An 18430-nucleotide genomic window follows, 5' to 3' on the forward strand; every position below is an offset into this window, starting at 1 on the left:
GGAAATAAAGCAAAGCTCTAATATGAAAAAGTGTTTTAGGAGTTAAGGCAGGAGAAGATATCCTTAGCCCTGCCTTCCCCATCACAATGCTGGGATCTTGCCGTGGGAAATACCATCACCACTGGCTGAGAGTCACCTTCTTGACCACCTAGAGGGGGTGTATGGCAAGGTACGCGATCCCTGTGGTTTTGCCTGGCTGGCTCTTCTTCTGGGTCCACTGGGAGAGAGGATGAGGGAAGAGCAGCATGGATCAGAAAAAAAAAAAAAAGGCAATCTGCTGTGGATAAAGAAAAGAGGGACTTCCTGTGGTTAAAAATTCATGTGACATCTTGGGATGAGGAAGGTTGAAGGATGCTGAGAAAAGATTAGGCTGAACTCAAAGGCCAAGAAATGTGATTCCTTCCTTTGTTTAATCTTAAGTAAAGCATTTAGCACTTTATGTCTTAAATATCTGATTCCCCCACCACACTCTGTCATTGTCATCATTTTATTCCTGGGGTCTGCATGGTGCTTGGCACAAACCACAATGCTAACCAGGATTTTCAGAATGAATGGATAAATAATCAGCAAGGGAAAGAGTAGAGAGCAAAAACTGACCCTGAATATTTTCAGCATAGTGAACGTTAATATTTTTATTTCTTTTGTAATGAAGAGTACAAATGGTTGGGAGCAGGACATCACAGGAGGAGGAAAGATAGCGCCATCTCTGCAGAAGAACTCCTGAGCCACACACAGAAGGAAAGTTGATCCCCAGGGCAGCCTTTCCCACCAAAAAAATCAGGCCCAATCCAGGAGAGTTTGCCAGTAGCTCCCCAGGGTTCCAGGGTGTCTGCCAGCCTTCCTAGGAATCGTGGGCAGGCTTCTAGGTGCCAGTGACTCAAACTCCTTTTTCCACTTCCCAGTTCAACCTGGTCACTCTCATCCCCACAAGTTCCCAATCTGAATCCCATTCTCTGACCATTCTCTGCTTCCTTGTTTTTAATCTCATTTGAGAGTGATCCTCACGGGTTCCCCTGGCCCCTGCACTCATTTTCCTTACTGGGTATGCTAACGTTTGTCTTCTAATTCAGGAAATCCTTCCAACCCTGTTTTCAGCTCTGCCTCCAAACCCTTCCATTTCCCCATTTCACCTCCCAGTCTCCTCACTCCTGGAGCAAAGAGCTCTGCACTTGGATTGCTAAGCATGCATGGCTCATGTGGAGCAGGGGAGTGGGAAGATGTCCCTCAGGGCAGAAAGCCTGCTTTTGGTGGGGAACCTACGTATCATTCAAACAGGCTTAGCTGTAGAGAACCTTCACTGCACCTCTCCTCCAGTTCTGCCTCTCCCCTCCACTATGCTGAACTTGCAGTTCATTCTGCAGTAAAAAGCAGTAGCCAGGCTGCAGCTGGTGCTCCAGAAGCCCGGCTGTAAGCATGCGCACTGTATATGTGGTGTGCAAGGAAGCCATCATCAGTCATATAAAGCAGTTGCTATGAAACATGTGAAAAGTGAGAAACATGGTTTAATTGTGGATTTTATTAGAAGTGTGATACTAGTCAGAAAGGCCCAGGAAGTTGGCATTGCAGTTACCAGCTCAGGGAGAAGGAAAGAGAGCAGCAGAAACTTCTATAGGAGATCCAACTGATGTTAACATATGTGGACACCCTCCTGTCCCCGGCCCCTTTCCTTTCACCCAGATTTGGTATGTGGCAAATCTAAACATTTGCAAATTCACAGTCGTATTCAGTCATCCGGCACATTATGAACTTCCACTGGCGATCCCTGTGGGAGGGAGAGTCAGAAAATGAATGTCAGTGAGAAAGGACATGGCAGGAAGAATCGCTGCTGGGGAAACAGCAGCAGAGAACATTTGGAGGATCTGGGAACTGAAGGGACACTTAATCTCACTTTGCTCTTAGAAGACATCTTTATGCAGTTTCCCAAGAACCGACAAATCTGTGAGTTCAGGTCACCCTTGAAGGTGACTAATTAGGTCACTGGCTGTGTGGAGGCCTCTGTTCATCACTGGTGGTCAGCTCACCCCTGCTGCCTCCAGAAAGTACCTCAAGGACCTGTGGGTTAACAGCTTGGAATAAAAGCATTTATTTAACATCATCTCCATTTCATTGTAAAGAATCTTGTTTTAGGCTGGGCTTGGTAGCTAACACCTGCAATCCTAGCATTTTGGGAGGCTGAGGCAGGTGGATTGCTTGAGGCTAGGAGTTTGAGACCAGTCTGGCCAATATGTGGAAACCCTGACTCCACAAAAAAATACAAAAAATTAGCTGGGTGTGGTGGTGCATGCCTGTAGTCCCAGCTACTTGGGAGGCTGAGGTGGGAGGATTGCTGGAGTCCGGGAGGTTGAAGCTGCAGTGAACCGAGATGGTGCCACTGCACTCCAGCCTGGGTGACAGAGTGAAACCCTGTCTCAAAAAAAAGAAAAAAATCTTGTTTTAAAAAGTCCGTCCATTTTCCCACTGACTCTTTCTGAGCACTTAACATATGCTGAGTGCTCACCATGCACTGGGCTCTGTGCTATACATGTGTTTCCCTTCAGAAAACACTGCTACAGAGGAATGAAAAAGTCCCTTAAATTAAAAAAGAAAATGGCTGCCATTCTGGCATCACAAGAATTGTTATGAATTGCCTATGTGTTTAAGTGGTTGGGGATGGGAAGAGTGTACATAGCATTACTAAATTTTGAAAAATGTGGTGTGGATACATTTCAAGGAATGTTCTTTGCTCAGGGTGAATTTATGTTCTTTATTCATCCATTTAAGAGAAATGTTTTGAGTGCCTACATTGCATGACACTCCTGTGGTCTAATACTGTTGAACAGTGATAATGATAATTGTAGCCTCTAATATATCTGGCATTGCACCAGATGCTTTACGTGTTTTCTCTTTTAATCCTCACAACGATTCATTGTTTAGGTGAAAAACCAGGCTCAGAGAAATAATTAACTTGCTTTAAGGTAATACAAGTAATAGGTGACAATTTCAGATTCGCAGTTTATTGTACTCAAATCTTGGTCTTTCTCTTAAACCACACAGTCTGCCTAACTAGGTAATCTTAAGCCCAGAAGAACACGTGGCTGCCATGCCCTTTGCACAGTCCTGATAAAGGGCAAAAACGAAGAGTTTTTCCATATTTAATTATGCAAATCATTCCAAAGCTTGGTGGGGTCCTTTACAAACTCAGAATTATCTATCTCCCTTTTCAATCTGCAAGCCCTCTTTTCAACAATTTATCCTAAACACTATGACTAACAAGGCCTCCATCCAGCTTCTAAACTGAAAAGTGGGGCTGATTGCTCTTAGTCCTAGGAAGCAGGGCTCACTCTGCTCAAACAGCCTAAGGCAGGCTTTCTAATTCTGAGTCTGTTGCTCCGGGTCGTTTGTTTAGAACAATTGGGTATAGAGTCCCTCAACACAAATCTGGGTGATCAACTTGAGGGTCTGGGTGATACCAGGGCCTGGGTGATATTTTGATTCCTGCAATTGTCAAAAGAGGTCATAGATTGTTTTAGAAGGAAATTAGAAAATTGGTGGCCTGTGGGTTTACCAAATGTCTGTAATTACTGCAGCCAGGTCTTATTTATCTGTGTAGCAACAAACACAGATAAACAAGATCTTATGATCAGGCATTCAAACTACTCTTTTAGAAGGCTATTAATTGATGCTGAGCAAAACTTAGACTTGGTCTTATGAAGACCAAATGATTCCACCAGGTTCAGTCTCTGATTTCACACCAGGACAGTGGGGGCAAATTTGCTCCCCAAGGGAATACTTGGCAATGTCTGCAACTTCTTTTGGTTAGGGTGGGGTGCTAATGGCATCTAGTGGGTAGACTAAACATCTAGAATGCAAAGGACAGACCCTGAAACAAAGAAATATCTGGCCCTAGATGTCAATAGCGCATAGATGGAACAACAGCATTCTAAGAGGAAACCACTATGATTTGCATGTGGAGGGAAAGCTCTTGCACAAGGAGTCCTGCCCTGACAATAGTTCTCCAAGCTGGGGACCTCAGCATCTTTCAGCAGAGGAGAAGAAACCCAAGTTGTGGATCATTAAGCTACTTATTTTTGATGACAGTAGCAAAGTTGCATGAGTATATTTATTTTATTTTATTTTGGGGGGAGGATACTCATTTTAAATTAATGCAATGACATAATATTTCAGTTTTTCATGATTCTGGGTAATCCACATAACCGAAAAATTTACTAAAAAGTGAATTTACTGAAAACTGAATTGAGCATTTTAACTACTCAGATATATTTATTTCATACTAATCTTGGATGGCACTCTTCCTTTACTGTATTAATTCCTGCTTTCTTAAACAGGGAACATAGAACTAATTTTCTTGTTGAGCTGAAGTCATCATTTGGAGCATTGAGCACCCCTGTTATTTCGTTTTGCACTTTGGGGAGCATGGCCCTGCTAAATGACAACCCATGTTCTTTGAGTTCTTGAGCCTTTCATTTTCTTTATTTTTCTTAAGCATATTTGTTATCATGTCATCCAGCTATTTATTCTCATTGGTGGAATGAGTTTCATTCTAAGTAGTATATACTCGTTTCCCTTTCTAATTTGCTGCTTCTAGAAAATTGGTAACTAAGCTAGTTTAAAGTGTATCTAAAGTAAAAATAAGTAATGTGTGCAAACTGAGTGGTTTGCCTATGGGTAAACATAAAGGTTTTTGCTGATCAGCCTGCAACATATATTGTGCCTTTCCAGAGCTACTTAATGTCTTTTTTTTTTTTTAAAAAAAAAAAGAAATTCTAGGTCATATTAAATAAGTTCACTTTATTTAAGATGTAATTCTGTTTGAAAACACAGACACACACCAAAGATGTGTCACACTCAAATTCATCATAGCATACTATCTAATGAGTTAATGTAAGTGTTATTTGGTTTGCAAAATATTTATTGGTAACTTTTCAGGAATTCATTTCTGTGTAAAGTGATTATCGGCTGACTAAAAGTAGGCCAAACCAATCATTAACACCTGAATTTACCCACACATTTCTCTATATTAATAGGGAGTACAATTCTTGTTTTCTTCTTACCGTTTTGATGTATTTGAGATAGGATTAAGGAGTTGATTGTGAGAGAAAGGTGATGAAAAAAGTGTTAGTGCTGTTTTTATCTTTAGGCCATTTAAATTCTCTTCTTTCATTAATTTTTGCAGGTTTACTGAGGGATTGTTAACTCCTTTCATTTCTAAATATGGTTGGTAGATGCTATGGTCTGAATGTTGGTGTCCCCTTAAAATTTATATATTGGAACCTAATACTCAATGTGATAGTATTAGGAGGAGGAGCCTTTAGGGGGGTGATTAAGCCATGAGGGCTCTGCTCTCATGAATGGGATTAGTGCCCATATAAAATAAGTTGAAGGGAGCTGGCTTGCCCTTTCCACCATGCGTGAGGACACAGTAATAAAGCAACATCTCTGAAGCAGCGAGCAACCCCTCACCAGACACTGAACCTGCTGGCACCTTGATCTTGGACTTTCCAGCTTCCAGAACTGTGAAAATAAATTTCTATTGTTCGTAAGTTACCCAGTCTAAGGTAATGTGGTATAGCAGCCCAGACTAAGACAGTAGGTTCTGTGTGTTTCTTATCTCCAATCCCTTTTCTTTCTCTTCTCTCTTCTTTCCTAAAACCCAAAGTGGGGATGATATAGAGGCACGGGGTGGAAGGGGGTCCATTTTGACAATGGGCACTCCTCTAAGCATATTTGCCTTCTCCTCTTGGTGTTTCATGAGGAAAAGTGCTCTTTGAAATTGAGTGAGGGGAAAAGCTTAGACCATCAAGGGATACCGAGTTTAGGACTCTCTGCTCTTGAGCAGGCTGGAATCCACCCTCACTTGCAAGGTGAGCAGCTCCATGAGGTGAGCTCATGAGAACAGCTCACTTCCCACTGCCTCCCATTTTCCAGCCAAAACTGCAGTTAATCCTTGACCAGGTAGGAAACTAAGATAAGTAAAACCTCAGGTCAAAGTTCCTGCAGAAATATATGTGCATGTAAGAAATTTTCACTTGTATTCTACGTGTGTGTGTGTGTGTGGGTGTGTGTGTGTGTGTGTGTTTATAAATTCCTGCAGGTAAAATCCTTGCAGGGAGTTAGTCCCAACTCCTTTAACCCTAGCCCATTGGGAAGGGGCTGTCTTTCTCACCTTTCCACTGCAGAGAAAGTGGTTGTTGCTCCTCGGATATAGTAATCATAATTGTAGGAAATCATGTCCATTTCCTCACCATAGTGACCTGGATATTCTGTTGTTAGCCTATGCAGGAAGAACAAAGGTTAGAGGAAAATGAAACACATTATTATTGCTGGGAGCAAACAGAAGACACACTATGAAGAAGAGATGGAGTTTGAGCATCCTGGCAAATCCAGACTGAAGTTAAATGACATCCACCAAACAACTCCAGGCTGTGAAGAAACAGACAGCTCTCCTCCCACTTCTCATCTTCCTTTTCTAGGCCATTAAACTGTGCACTGAAAAAGATGAAGATACCTCCCCAGGCTTTGGAATTATCAAAATAACTTTGGAATTCTTGATATTGATTAATATCAATACTATTCCTATTCTATTCAAGTCAACTAAGACAATGTTTTCAAATTTTAGATTATGATTCATTAGTTGATAACAAAATCAATTTAATTGGCTTTAAAAGAGACATAAAATAGAAAAGAAAATATAAAAGCATGCATCACATGCAGTAAGGACGAGTCTATGTATGTAAACATTTTGTTTCAAATATATATGTGTGTTTGTTTATAAGATGTACATATTGCGATAGTTTAATGTTTCTTATTGTGAGTTATAGTCAACAAAGTGTTCAAAAATTATTTAATTAAAATGTAAGCTCCCCAAAGGTAGAGTTTTTGCCTTGTCCACCATTGTTCATCCAGCACCTAAAACACATACATAATAAATATTAGCTGAATAAATATATGGCCTGGGGAAAGTCAATGAATCTGTTTTCTGATCTGTAGAAGAATAAAGTCTACCTTATAGGTTTGTCATTGGAACTAATAAAAATGAGTGATGAGTGTGCTATACTAGTACATGGTAGGTGTTGAATCACTAAGAACTATTTTGTTTCTTCTTCCTCTTCCTCCTTTCCTTTCCTTCTCTTCCAATATTGAGTAAATCCTGAGCCTTCATATGAGTAGGTCCATGGTAGTCCATCCTGGAATAAAGTCTAGAATCCCCCAGTTCTCATAAGGGCTTTGCCACTGGAACCTTCAGGACCAAAACAGTCCTTTTACCATGAAATAGCTCCTCCAAAGTCTTTATCCACACCCCAGGGACGCTTGGAAAACAACTAGTTTGTGAGTGTCAATAATTTCATCTGATTTGGGTTTACCAGATCACTGTTTATTAATGCTAGAAAGATCTTCTCCTCTGCAGACTGATGGTGATCTTTCTCCAAGATTGTCATTAAATCATGAAAAGATTGATTTATAAACTGTAAGGGCTCCTAGGAGGATCTCAGTGCACAGATGGAGAAAGATCAATGGTTAGCTCATTCTCTTGGTTCATAATCATTCCTTTTACCCATTATTCACTAACCCTTGTTCTCTGATTTGACTTTTCCTAAGACGTAATTATGCTCTATCAGGATGCCAAGTCCAACCCAAAGTGAGGTACCTGTGTTTTTGCTTAACGAGTTCATGAAGGGAAATAAGGTCCTGCAAATCCAGAAACTTATTTTGTGCTTCTAAAGAGATCCAGAAGCAGGACTTTACCTTTCAGGTAAATGTCTTTTTTTTTTTTTTTTTGAGACCAAGTCTCACTCTGTCACCCAGGCTGTTGCACACTGGTGCAATCTCGGCTCACTGCAACTTCCGCCTCCTGGGTTCAAGTGATTCTCCTGCCTCAGTGTCCCAGGTAGCTGGGATTACAGGTGTGTGCCACCACACCCAGCTAATTTTTGTATTTTTAATAGGGACGGGGTTTCACCATGTTGGCCAGGCTGGTCTGGAACTCCTGACCTTAAGTGATCCACCCGCCTCAGCCTCCCAAAGTGCCGGGATTACATGTATGAGCCACTGCGCCCAGCATGGTAAATGTCTTATAAGTAGAACTAATAGGGCCTTACTTGGATCCCACTGATTTATGATCCATGAGAATTCTAACAAGGACTGTATTAAAGTTAACCCAAGGAAAGAGAGGTTTGTTGAGAACATCAATAATGCAAATTAGAATAAGAGGTTGCATGGGGGTGGGAGGGGGTGTGTGTTTTCCTTACTTCAGGGAACAAAAAATATTTTCTAAAACTTTTGAAGCATCTCTGGATACAATGTGTAAAAATTAATTACCAAGTTGTGTGTTTTTTCTTTTTTTTGCTAAGGCAGAATCTACATACAGCAACACTGCATTAAGCTAAATCCAATTGCCAAAAGTATTTGGAAATTATGAAGCTAGATTTTTATTTTTTAAGTTTTTACTGACCACTCTGATCTGTCTTCAGATACTTGGATAAATATCACGGAATAAAGTGGGAAAGAAAAGCTTACCTTTAAAAACATCAAGAAGTTTTAAGCTTCAAAGAAGGAAAATGTTATTTCATGCTTTCTTTAATTAGGATTCTCTGTTGCTTCATTTTTGGTAGTGACCAGACATAAGCCCCCTGTCTAACTGGACAGTTTGTCCGAGAAGCCTCTCCATGAGGTACTGATGTCCAGTGAATTTCTAGAATGTCCTAGAGAAGGTGAGGTGCATGACCATTGGTACTTTTTCTTCTTGGTCCCAGACAGGTTTTGTTTTGTGTGACTTTTGGTTGTTGTTATTTTGTCTTGTTTTTGTTATAACACCATGGGATTGAGTTTAGACTGTCCTAGAGAAACCTGGGTAAAGGAGGAGAGGGAAGGAGGTTGGATATCGATGGAAATCTCTCCTACTTTATGAAATAAAAATACCAAGGGAGAAATGACCCAAATCACTGGTAGAAAGTGAACCTCCCAAACACCATCCATAGGAAGAACTATTGAGTCAATGTGGCCCAGGATGCTGTGTTCTGTATTTTCAAACCAGATATATGTGGCTGCATTTAGCGCTTGATGACACTGCATGTGCACGCGCACACACACACACGCGCACAAAGTGTCCTAATAAGTGAAAGCCCAGTAATAGCTCCTTAGAGAGAAAAAAGAATTTAAACGTTCAGAACTAGACACTGAGACAGGGCATAGGGACTTTTCAGGAAATTAAAAGAGGCTACAAGGAAGCAGAATGATCAGGGTTTCCTAAGCTGTGACACTGGGCTTTGCGAGTGTAGGTCGGGGAAGAGTTCGGTGTGGTTGCAGCTTCCTTGTGAATTCCTTGTGAATTACTAGGTCACTTTAAGCAGTTTTTTGGAAAAACACACTTCATACTGAGCATTGCCATACATTCCTAGACCAATTAAAACAATCAAACAAACCTTCAGCTTGGCAAGATGAAGAAGAGCGCAGGTCAGGAAGATGCCTTTATTGAAATGAGTCTACTTTTCAAACATTTCTATGGGAAGCCTTATTTTCTCCTTTCCCCTAAAGTAAAGTGTTTGAATAGATTTATTCAATTTTAGCTATTACTTAATTTTTAATAAAAACTACTGCTGTGCAGGAGAATGGCGTGAACCCGGGAGGCGGAGCTTGCAGTGAGCTGAGATCGCGCCACTGCACTCCAGCCCGGGCGACAGAGCGAGACTCCGTCTCAAACAACAACAACAACAAAAAAAGCAAAACTACTGGTGTGTGTGTGGGGTGTGTGTGTGTGTGTGCATGCGCACTTTCAGATGAATGACTCTTGTGGTACAGTTTCTCACTTCACAGCACTTTTTCTGCTGTCAAGATGAAAGACAGAGAGTTGTTCCAAAGCTAAGAAAAAACTTGATAACATAAAGCCACTTGCACAACTCTTGTGTCAGCTGAAGCTGATGGTAAAAAAATTAATAATATTTTACTTATGAGCTGAGGGAAATCAGTTCGAACTGAAGACAATTTTAAGATTGATATAGGATTTTTCTCATCTAAGATTCTTGAAGCTCTAAAATTATTAACAGATCCAACTGGACTCAATGAATGTTTGCTATGATACAATATCATAGACTGAGCTGCTGCTGATAGATGTCTCGGCTCCGTTGCCACAAGAACAGACATATTGCAGAGCTGAGTCCAGGTATACGCTCTCACATCCATTTTAGAAAGGGAAATAGAGATACAATCTAGTTATATACAGTGGCCAATTTTATTCATTGTCAGAGGTTGGGTTGAGAACTTATTAGGTTTTTAATAGTTAAAGTAAAGATTTTCAATCTATTCCTTGACATAAAGTGACTCAGCGTAAGGTTTTGTGAAAACCCACCTCTACGAGACCTTATTCGGAGCTAGACACTTTTCTTCTATGAAAGTCAAACTTCATAGCACTGAGATGTGTTTGTTACAGCTGTTTCACTTGGGGAAATTAGGGCAACTGGATTAGTCGGTGTCACCTGGAAGCTCCTCTTTCAGGACTTTCCCTCCAATTGATGTGCACATGAACAGATACAGCTTCATCTCATGGTCAGGAAACATCATATCCCCAACCTTGGCCCACTTTGTGGGGACACCAGAAAAGCACACACCACAGACTCCCTACCATAAAAACTGGAAAAAAACCCCAGCATTTACATATGAACAGATCAGAACGGGTACCTGAGGAAGCCATACTTCAGCTTTTTAAAAAATAAGAATAAAATTAGAATGTCTTCCAAATGATCTTTTATAGCCCAGCTTATGCTCAAACAACATTTTAGAGAAGCTTCTGTTGGTCATTCAATATTGAATTCTGTTTTTCTTCTATTTCTCTACCACTCAATTAGCACATTACTTTAAATATCCCATTCAAATGTCCTGTGACATGTCAGCTGATACAGTTTGGCTGTGTCTCACCCAAATCTCATTTTGAATTCTCAGATGTTGTGAGAGGGATCCAGTGGGAGGTAATTGAACCTTTGGGCAGGTCTTTCCTGTGTTGTTCTCATACTAGTGAATAAGTCACATGAGAGCTGATGGTTTTAAAAATGAGAGTTTCCCTGCACAAGCTCTCTTTCTGCCTGCTGCCATCCACATAAGATGTGGCTTGCTCCTCCTTGCCTTCCACCATGATTGTGAGGCTTCCTCAGCCATGGAACTGTGAGTTCTCCATTAAACCTCTTTCTTTTGTAAATTGCCCAGTCTCGGGTATGTCTTTATCAGCAACATGAAAATGGACTAATACATCAGCACTATATATTTAGCAAGATAATAGAATACTGTATAACATCATGATGGCCAATATAGTGAGCTCTTTGAGGGATCACTGGTGCATGGAATCAAATATGCTTTTATGATCTGGTTCAGAGGTGGGTTTGGAGGAGAAACTCAACATTTGCGGATTTGGTGTGTTGAGGTTGGCTTACGTTTTATATATTCAGCTAAAAAGATGTCCCTTTCTGACAGTCAAATCATTGAGAAGTTTGTTAAATAAAGCCAGTCTGTTCATGATCAATCCTCTTGCATAATGCTTTTCCAAGTAAGCTATAAGGAATGAACATATTTCAGATTAATTTAGTTTGTCTTTATTAGGAGCTACATCAGACCCCCTTTGAATTAGTTTTGTAAAGACAGAAAAAATAAACCCCAAATGGAGTTATGTGTAAAGGAAAACAGCCACAGAGAACAATCCCCAGGCTTCTTCCCACAAGAGCTGGGGATTGGCCAAGCGGGACCTCTGGTAGTCACCCAAGTGCCCTTCTCTGCACAGAAAATCTGAACCCAGGGGCTCTGAGGTGTGTGAAATAAAAACAAATGTCCATGTCTGTCCTTTTATGGCATTTTGGGACTTTACATTTCAAACATTTCAGACATGTATCACAACACGAGGGAATAACAGTTCCAGGGATATCTGTAGCTTAAATGAGTAGAGGAAAGTCCCTGAACACTTTCCAAATTGCTCTCTTGGAACTGAGTTTCTAACTCACTGTCCAAGCCCAGGGCTAGTCAGTAAGCACATTCACTTTGACTCGTGTTGATTTTCATTAGCCACATTATGTGGTGGTCACCCTGGGCCTGCATGTCAGTGGGGGCTACTTGACCTTCAACAGCTCCCCTCCAATTAAAATAGTTTTATTCTCTGTTTTCTACCAGATGCCTACTGTGCTATTATGTAATATTTCACCTGTAGAAGTCTTATTCCTCATCTAGAGACAGCTCAGTACTATGCAAAGAGCATGGGATTTGGAGGCAGATAGACTGGTTGAGTCAAGTTTGGAACTTTGAAGGGAGCCACAACTTCTATAGCTCAGTTCCCTCATCTGTATGATAGTATCATAATTTTTGTGTGTGAGGATTAAATGCAGTAACACAGGAACACGTGGTAAGTGTCAATAAATAAATATTATTATTATCATCATTATCATTAGTAGGGTCTCACCCAAAGCCTATGAATTGTTATTATTTCATATCCATTCACATTCATTGACTGCTTAAGTGAATTAATAAATAGAAGTAAGAATGATTGCCTCTAGAATCTATTATAGTAGAGGGAAGCAGACTAGATAGAATAAAGCATCAGATTTGGTTTGTAACTGAGAGGTTTACTTTGTTCTAAGTAGCTGGCCTTGGGTTAACCAATACTTAGCCAGACACATCTATGATATTTCTGCTTTTGAAGTTTGAACATAAGGAGAGAGGTATCACCTATAATGCAGGCACCAAATACAGTCGATATGGTTTGGCTCTGTGTCCCCAACCAAATGTCACCTTGAATTGTGGTTTCCATAATCCCCACATGTCATGGAAGAGACCCAGTGGGAAGTAATTTAATCAAGAGGACGGTCACTCTCATGCTGTTCTCATGATCGTGAGTGAGTTCTCACGAGATCTGATGGTTTTATAAGGGGCTTTTCCCCCTTTTGCTTGGCATTTTTTCCTGCCATCATGTGAAGGACATGTTTGCTTCTCCTTCTGCCATGGTTGTAAGTTTCCTGAGGCCTCCCCAGCCCTGTGGAACTGTGAGTCAATTAAACTGTTTCCTTTGTTAAGTTACCCAGTCTCGGGTATGTCTTTATTAGCAGTGTGAGAATGGACTAATACAACAGTCATCAGTGGCATCTGCAGGGGATTGATTCCAGGACCCCCATGGATACCAAAATTTTCAGAAACTCAAGTCCTTGATCTAAAATGGTGTAGCATTTGCACATAACCTATGAATATCCTCCTGTTTACTTTAAATCACCTCTAGATTACGTATAATACCTAAGATAATGCAAATGCTATGTGAGTAGTTATTATACTATATGGTTTTGTATTTGTATCATTTTTTATTGTTGTATTGTTATTTTTATTTTTATTGTTTTTTTCTGAATATTTTTGATTCAAAGTTGGTTGAATTCTTGGATAGGGAACCCCAGATATGGAGTGCCAATTGTACATGTCTACATTTTAAATATGGCACAATAATTATGGAAACCATTCCAGCAGATGAAAGGGATGATAGATTTTGCTCAAGTTCAGAGAGGCTGCTGTCTGCACAATGAGTGCTATGTACATCATGCAATGGAAGGCAATGGTTTTAGTAGGGCGCAGAGCATCTAAACCCAATATAAGTTCCTTTAAATTGAGACATCTAGTCCAATTTCCTCAAAACTTAAGTATGTCCATCTCTATAGTAATAGCTTCCAGCTTGCGCAGAGGACCAGTATGGAAGCTGCTCTTCATTTTTATTTTTTTATTTTACTTTAAGTTCTAGGGTACATGTGCACAATGTGCAGTTTGTTACATATGTATACATGCGCCAGGTTGGTGTGCTGCACCTGTTAACTAACATTAGGAGATATACCTAATGGAAGCTGCTCTTCTTACCAGGCCTCTGGGAGCTGAATTGCAGGAGGCTGTCTGGGCACAGGTGGCATATGACAGGCACAGCAATGCAGAGGCCTGTGAGATTGTTCATGTCCCTAAAACAGCATTACAGGAGTGAACATGCAAACACTCCCTATCTTGTATTAACATCTGAACAAAGAGGCTAAGAATTAAAGATTAGCTTTGACTGGGTGCTTTGGGGTGGGAGAGATAAGAATGTTCTAATCAACTGATGTTAACTAGAGCTATACAGGAATTTAAAAAAAGCACTCTCTGGCTTATGACTTGCACACAGAGAGTGGGGAAGTAGGCAGTGGAGAATGCAAAGTCTGAGAGACAGAATATCAGGGTTGAAGAGAAAAGTAAAGGTTACCTAAATGGATGCATTATTTTACAGTCAAAAGATATTATCCAATGAACCTAATGAAAGGCCATGGGTCTGGAGAAGAGCCATTTGGAAAAGAAAATGATTCACAACCATCAGATCCTGGGACACAGAGTCTCCGCCTGGACAGTAGACAGTCTGGTGTGCAGCCTGCAGCTGCTGAGCTGTTTGGAGAAGAGAGATTATGACAAACAATGTCTAAAGGGTTGTGGCAACTTCAGTGACATGTGTTTGTGGTTTGCAGACCACTAGACTAAGAATTAGAATTTTCATATCTAAATAAATATCTATAAAATTCACTATTCATCCAATCCAGTGGAGACCATTTCCTAATGGCATGTCCACATCTCTCAGGAATTTGCTTTCTTGCCAGAGTCCAGTGAGGCTGTAATATCCAAAGAGAAACCGCACAAGCTGAAACGAGAGCAGCACCTTGGTTCCCACCAAACAAATAAATCTCATACTCATTTGGGAGTTGGTTGGATGATTTGTTTTTTCCAGCCCAGAGTGATGATATTTCTGAATCCCTAAGTGCTCACAAACGCAGGCGCTAGATATTCACTTAGCTAGTTCATACGGTGTCAGGCTGCGTGCTGAAGAATGCCTTTCAAAGAGGGAAGGGGAAAAATGTCGTTCCCACCCACATGGGTCCAGTTCCCTGGGAGGTAATTCAAGCTAATTAAAGTCATGTAAGGGAAGGTTTCAGATAAGAGGGTTATCAGCATTTCACTGTGGGAAGGTGCAGGAAAAAGAGTTCTCACTTCACTCTGTAAGGCTGTTAAAAGGATCAAATAAAATAATGTACATGAAAGAAGTCTTTGTCAACTATAAAACATCATCACATCAATGTCAGGTTTCACCATTGTTACTGTTCCTAGGGGCTTGCAACATTCAGTTATTCATCTGACACATTTATTAAGAGTCTATTTTGTGCTGGGTAATATCCTGGAGATGTTGAAAAAATAAGACCTAATTTATGCCCTGGAGGCATTTAGAAAGACATATAATACAACATCATGACTCAGGCAATTTAAAGATGCCACTAAAATGTCTAGACACACCAGCGGGATAGTGAGTCATACACTGTGTACCATGGTGCACACTTGAATCTTGTTCTGCTGCTTCTCCAATGTTTTCTTTGAAAAAATACCATTTTATTTGGTGACCGTGATAGCTCTCAGCTCTAACACCATGCCTTCAGAAATAGAACCAGCAGGTGGAACCACACCTTAGTGGGACTTGTTTCAAAGTTGACTTGTCATGCCTTTTGGATTAATTCTCTGTACTTTCCCCACCTTTTGGCTCCACAGACCAACAGCAACATGTCTGGATGGTAGGATGGGGTAAGGAAGGGTAAAGGGTATGGGGGTTGGGGTGGGTTCAGAGTGGCAAAGTCATTGCAGATCAAGGCTTTGGGTAAACTTTGTGAGCAGAGACATGAATATCTCTGGCAACTCAAAATTGCTCATCTTTATCTATCAATCTTTAACATTGAGACTTTGTTCCTACATATATGTCTATATGATCATTACATTTTTAGCATCTTAGCTGGTGAATTGCATCTAAGGGAGCTTGAGAAGCCTTTCTAAAGTATGTGAGAGGAACGATACCTAGCATTCTTGGGGAAGCAGAAGTATCCTGGAACCAGTCTCCAGGTGACCACTGGAAATCTGGGGCATCATTAAAACAACGGTGGAACTGGAAACACAAAGACCTGTCTTTTTCAGGTCTCAGCATTCAAATAAACAGACAGGATAAGCTTCAAGAAGCAATGCTCAGAGTGTTAACACAGATCCCACAGATCCACGGAATATGGGAATTCCAGGAAAATTTAGATGTTTATCCCTTTCTCTCACACTTACCTTCATCCACCCCCTATTTCTTCTGTTTGACAACTTTGCTTTTTTTTTTCTTCTTCTTCTTTTTTTTTGAGTCAGAGTCTTGCTCTGTCGCCCAGGCTGGAGTGCAGTGGCGTGATCTCGGCTCACTGCGAGCTCCACCTCCTGGGTTCATGCCATTCTCCTGCCTCAGCCTCCTGAGTAGCAGGGACTACAGGTGCCTGCCACCAAGCCTGGCTAATTTTTTTTTTTTTTTGTATTTTTAGTAGAGAACGGGGTTTCATCATGTTAGCCAGCATGGTCTCGATCTCCTGACCTTGTGATCTGCCCACTTCGGCCTCCCAAAGTGCTGGGATTACAAGTGTGAGCCACCATGCCCGGCCTTGACAAATTTTCTAAAACCAGTGAGCCTTAGCTCCTTGCCTGCCTGGTCACCCAAAGCCTTGAGGCCCAAGCCCACTATCTGTTGTTGTTCTGTTTGGGCAGGGGCCAGCCAACCATGATGGCATGGCCACAGACACAGCAGGCTCTCCCACTCATCTCTGCAGAGACCTCGAGCCTTGCTGTGATGAGGAATGTTGCTGCCTCAGCTTACTCCTCTCTGCCTGGGGAAGAATGAGTTAGTACATCTAACAACAGACTGTCCAACTGGTCACATGTCTTGTTCCTCTGCATAACCAACCCCGCTCTCAAGTTCTGCTTCCTGCAATGACCTGACACCTGCTAGGTTGTTCCTGGGCAGAGTTTGCCTTTGAATGTCCTGTTAGTTGGTGAGGAGGCTGGGTCTCTCCTGCATCTGGGAGGGTGAAGGGGACTCTGTTTCAAGACAGGTCAGCTCTGTGTGATCATAGACAGTGGCAAGGCCAGAAATATATTATCTTATTTAATGCTCATAACAAAAAGTAGCCTGAAGTCATTCCTTCATCCAAACAAATGTTATGTGCCTGTCATTATTTATAGGGCTTGGCATATGTCAGCACAAAGATCTCTGCTTGTGTAGAGCTTATATTCTGGGCAGAAGTGGAGGGATGGGGGAGAGAACAAAAAATTTTATGTAAGAGAATTATATTTTCTGGGCCACTTCACATTATATACACCCTCCACAATTATTAATGTGGATATTTGTTCAACAGTTGTTAAGAAGACACTATGTTCCAAGCACTATACTGGGCATTGAAAATACAAAGATCAGTGAGTGGCCCCATATCCTCCAGACACTGGAAGTCCAGGTAGAGAGGAGCAACTGTACACAGGTGGTAAAATGCATAAAGTGCTGTGACAGAGGCATCTACGAAGGGCAGAGAGACAGAGCCACCAACATCCAGGCCTCCAGCTGCCCCTAGGCTGTCCATGTTCCCCTTCCTCCCCACTGCAGCCCGTGCAGGGCTACCTCCTCACCTCCTCACTCTTTCCCCTGCTCCTGAACCCACTCCTCCTGGCCACCCAGCATACCCCAGCCCTGATGTGTTCCTTTGGAGTCTGATTCAGGGAAAGTTATACTAATGTAGTAAATAAATTCACTGACTGAGTATTAGGTTTTGCTTGCTCTTTCAGGTAATTTACATACATTTTAACTGGCTTTTAATGCTTTGCAACAAAGGGAGGCTGGTTTCCTTGTGGGAAGTGCCATTCTGTTAATAGACCAGGAATGAGAGATTTGTGGAGGCCAAGCTCCTACCTACTCTCCCCTTTCATTAGGGCGCACTCGTCTTTGGAACTTCCTTCATCCTCTCAAAACAGTTCTGGCATCTGGATCATCTTTTCCAAAAGTGTCTTTGGAATTAAGACATTTTTAGGGTTCAACACAACCTGAAAGATCTTCTAGTCCTTGGAATTTCAACTTATGATCCAGGGGTTCTTGGCAGTGTGTTCATGAATGGCCTTCAGGGAGTTTAAGGACTCCCGAAATTCTCTGCAAACTATTGTATTAACATGCTAAGTGCATTTTCCCCCCTGAAGACAAGGTCTATAGTTTTCATCAGAGTCTTAAAGATCTTGGAGACTCAAAAAAGGTGGTCATCATTTTAGGTGATGTGCTTGAGCCTGCAGAGTTATGAGAGGGAGGGGAGAAGGGGAAAGGGGAAAGAAGGGAGGGAAGTGAGGAAAGGCCAACACAGAGACTGAAACTCAAGTTTCTTTTTGCCCAAACTGGTGCTCCTTCTACCTCCTCCACTGCAAGAGATCTTTAGGTCTTTGGTTCAGGACCTATCCCAGTGGCATCGTAATCCTTTGCCAGGCCTGTTCACCCACTGTAGAGGAGTAAAAGCTGCTTTATGGAAGCGATTTTGAAGAACTAGAGGAGGTTTCTGCTCCATCATACAGTGACAGGTGACTTTGAGCTCTGAAT

The 18430-nt window shown here is 41.4% G+C and overlaps 1 protein-coding gene across 1 annotated transcript in view; it reads right to left on the reverse strand.

Moving 5' to 3' along the window:
* Positions 1-614: 614 nt before the first annotated feature.
* The window catches only part of DPT (dermatopontin), a 33739-nt gene continuing 15923 nt past the window's right edge, over positions 615-18430 (reverse strand). The window contains exons 3-4 of the mRNA NM_001937.5: positions 6164-6271; positions 615-1762 (exon numbers count right to left, since the gene is read on the reverse strand). Coding sequence (NP_001928.2) covers positions 1696-1762; positions 6164-6271 — 175 coding nt within the window. The 3' untranslated portion in view covers positions 615-1695. The remainder of the gene's footprint in view (positions 1763-6163; positions 6272-18430) is intronic.

The sequence above is a fragment of the Homo sapiens genome, chromosome 1 (assembly GCF_000001405.40).
Source record: "Homo sapiens chromosome 1, GRCh38.p14 Primary Assembly".
NCBI classification, from domain to species: domain Eukaryota; kingdom Metazoa; phylum Chordata; class Mammalia; order Primates; family Hominidae; genus Homo; species Homo sapiens.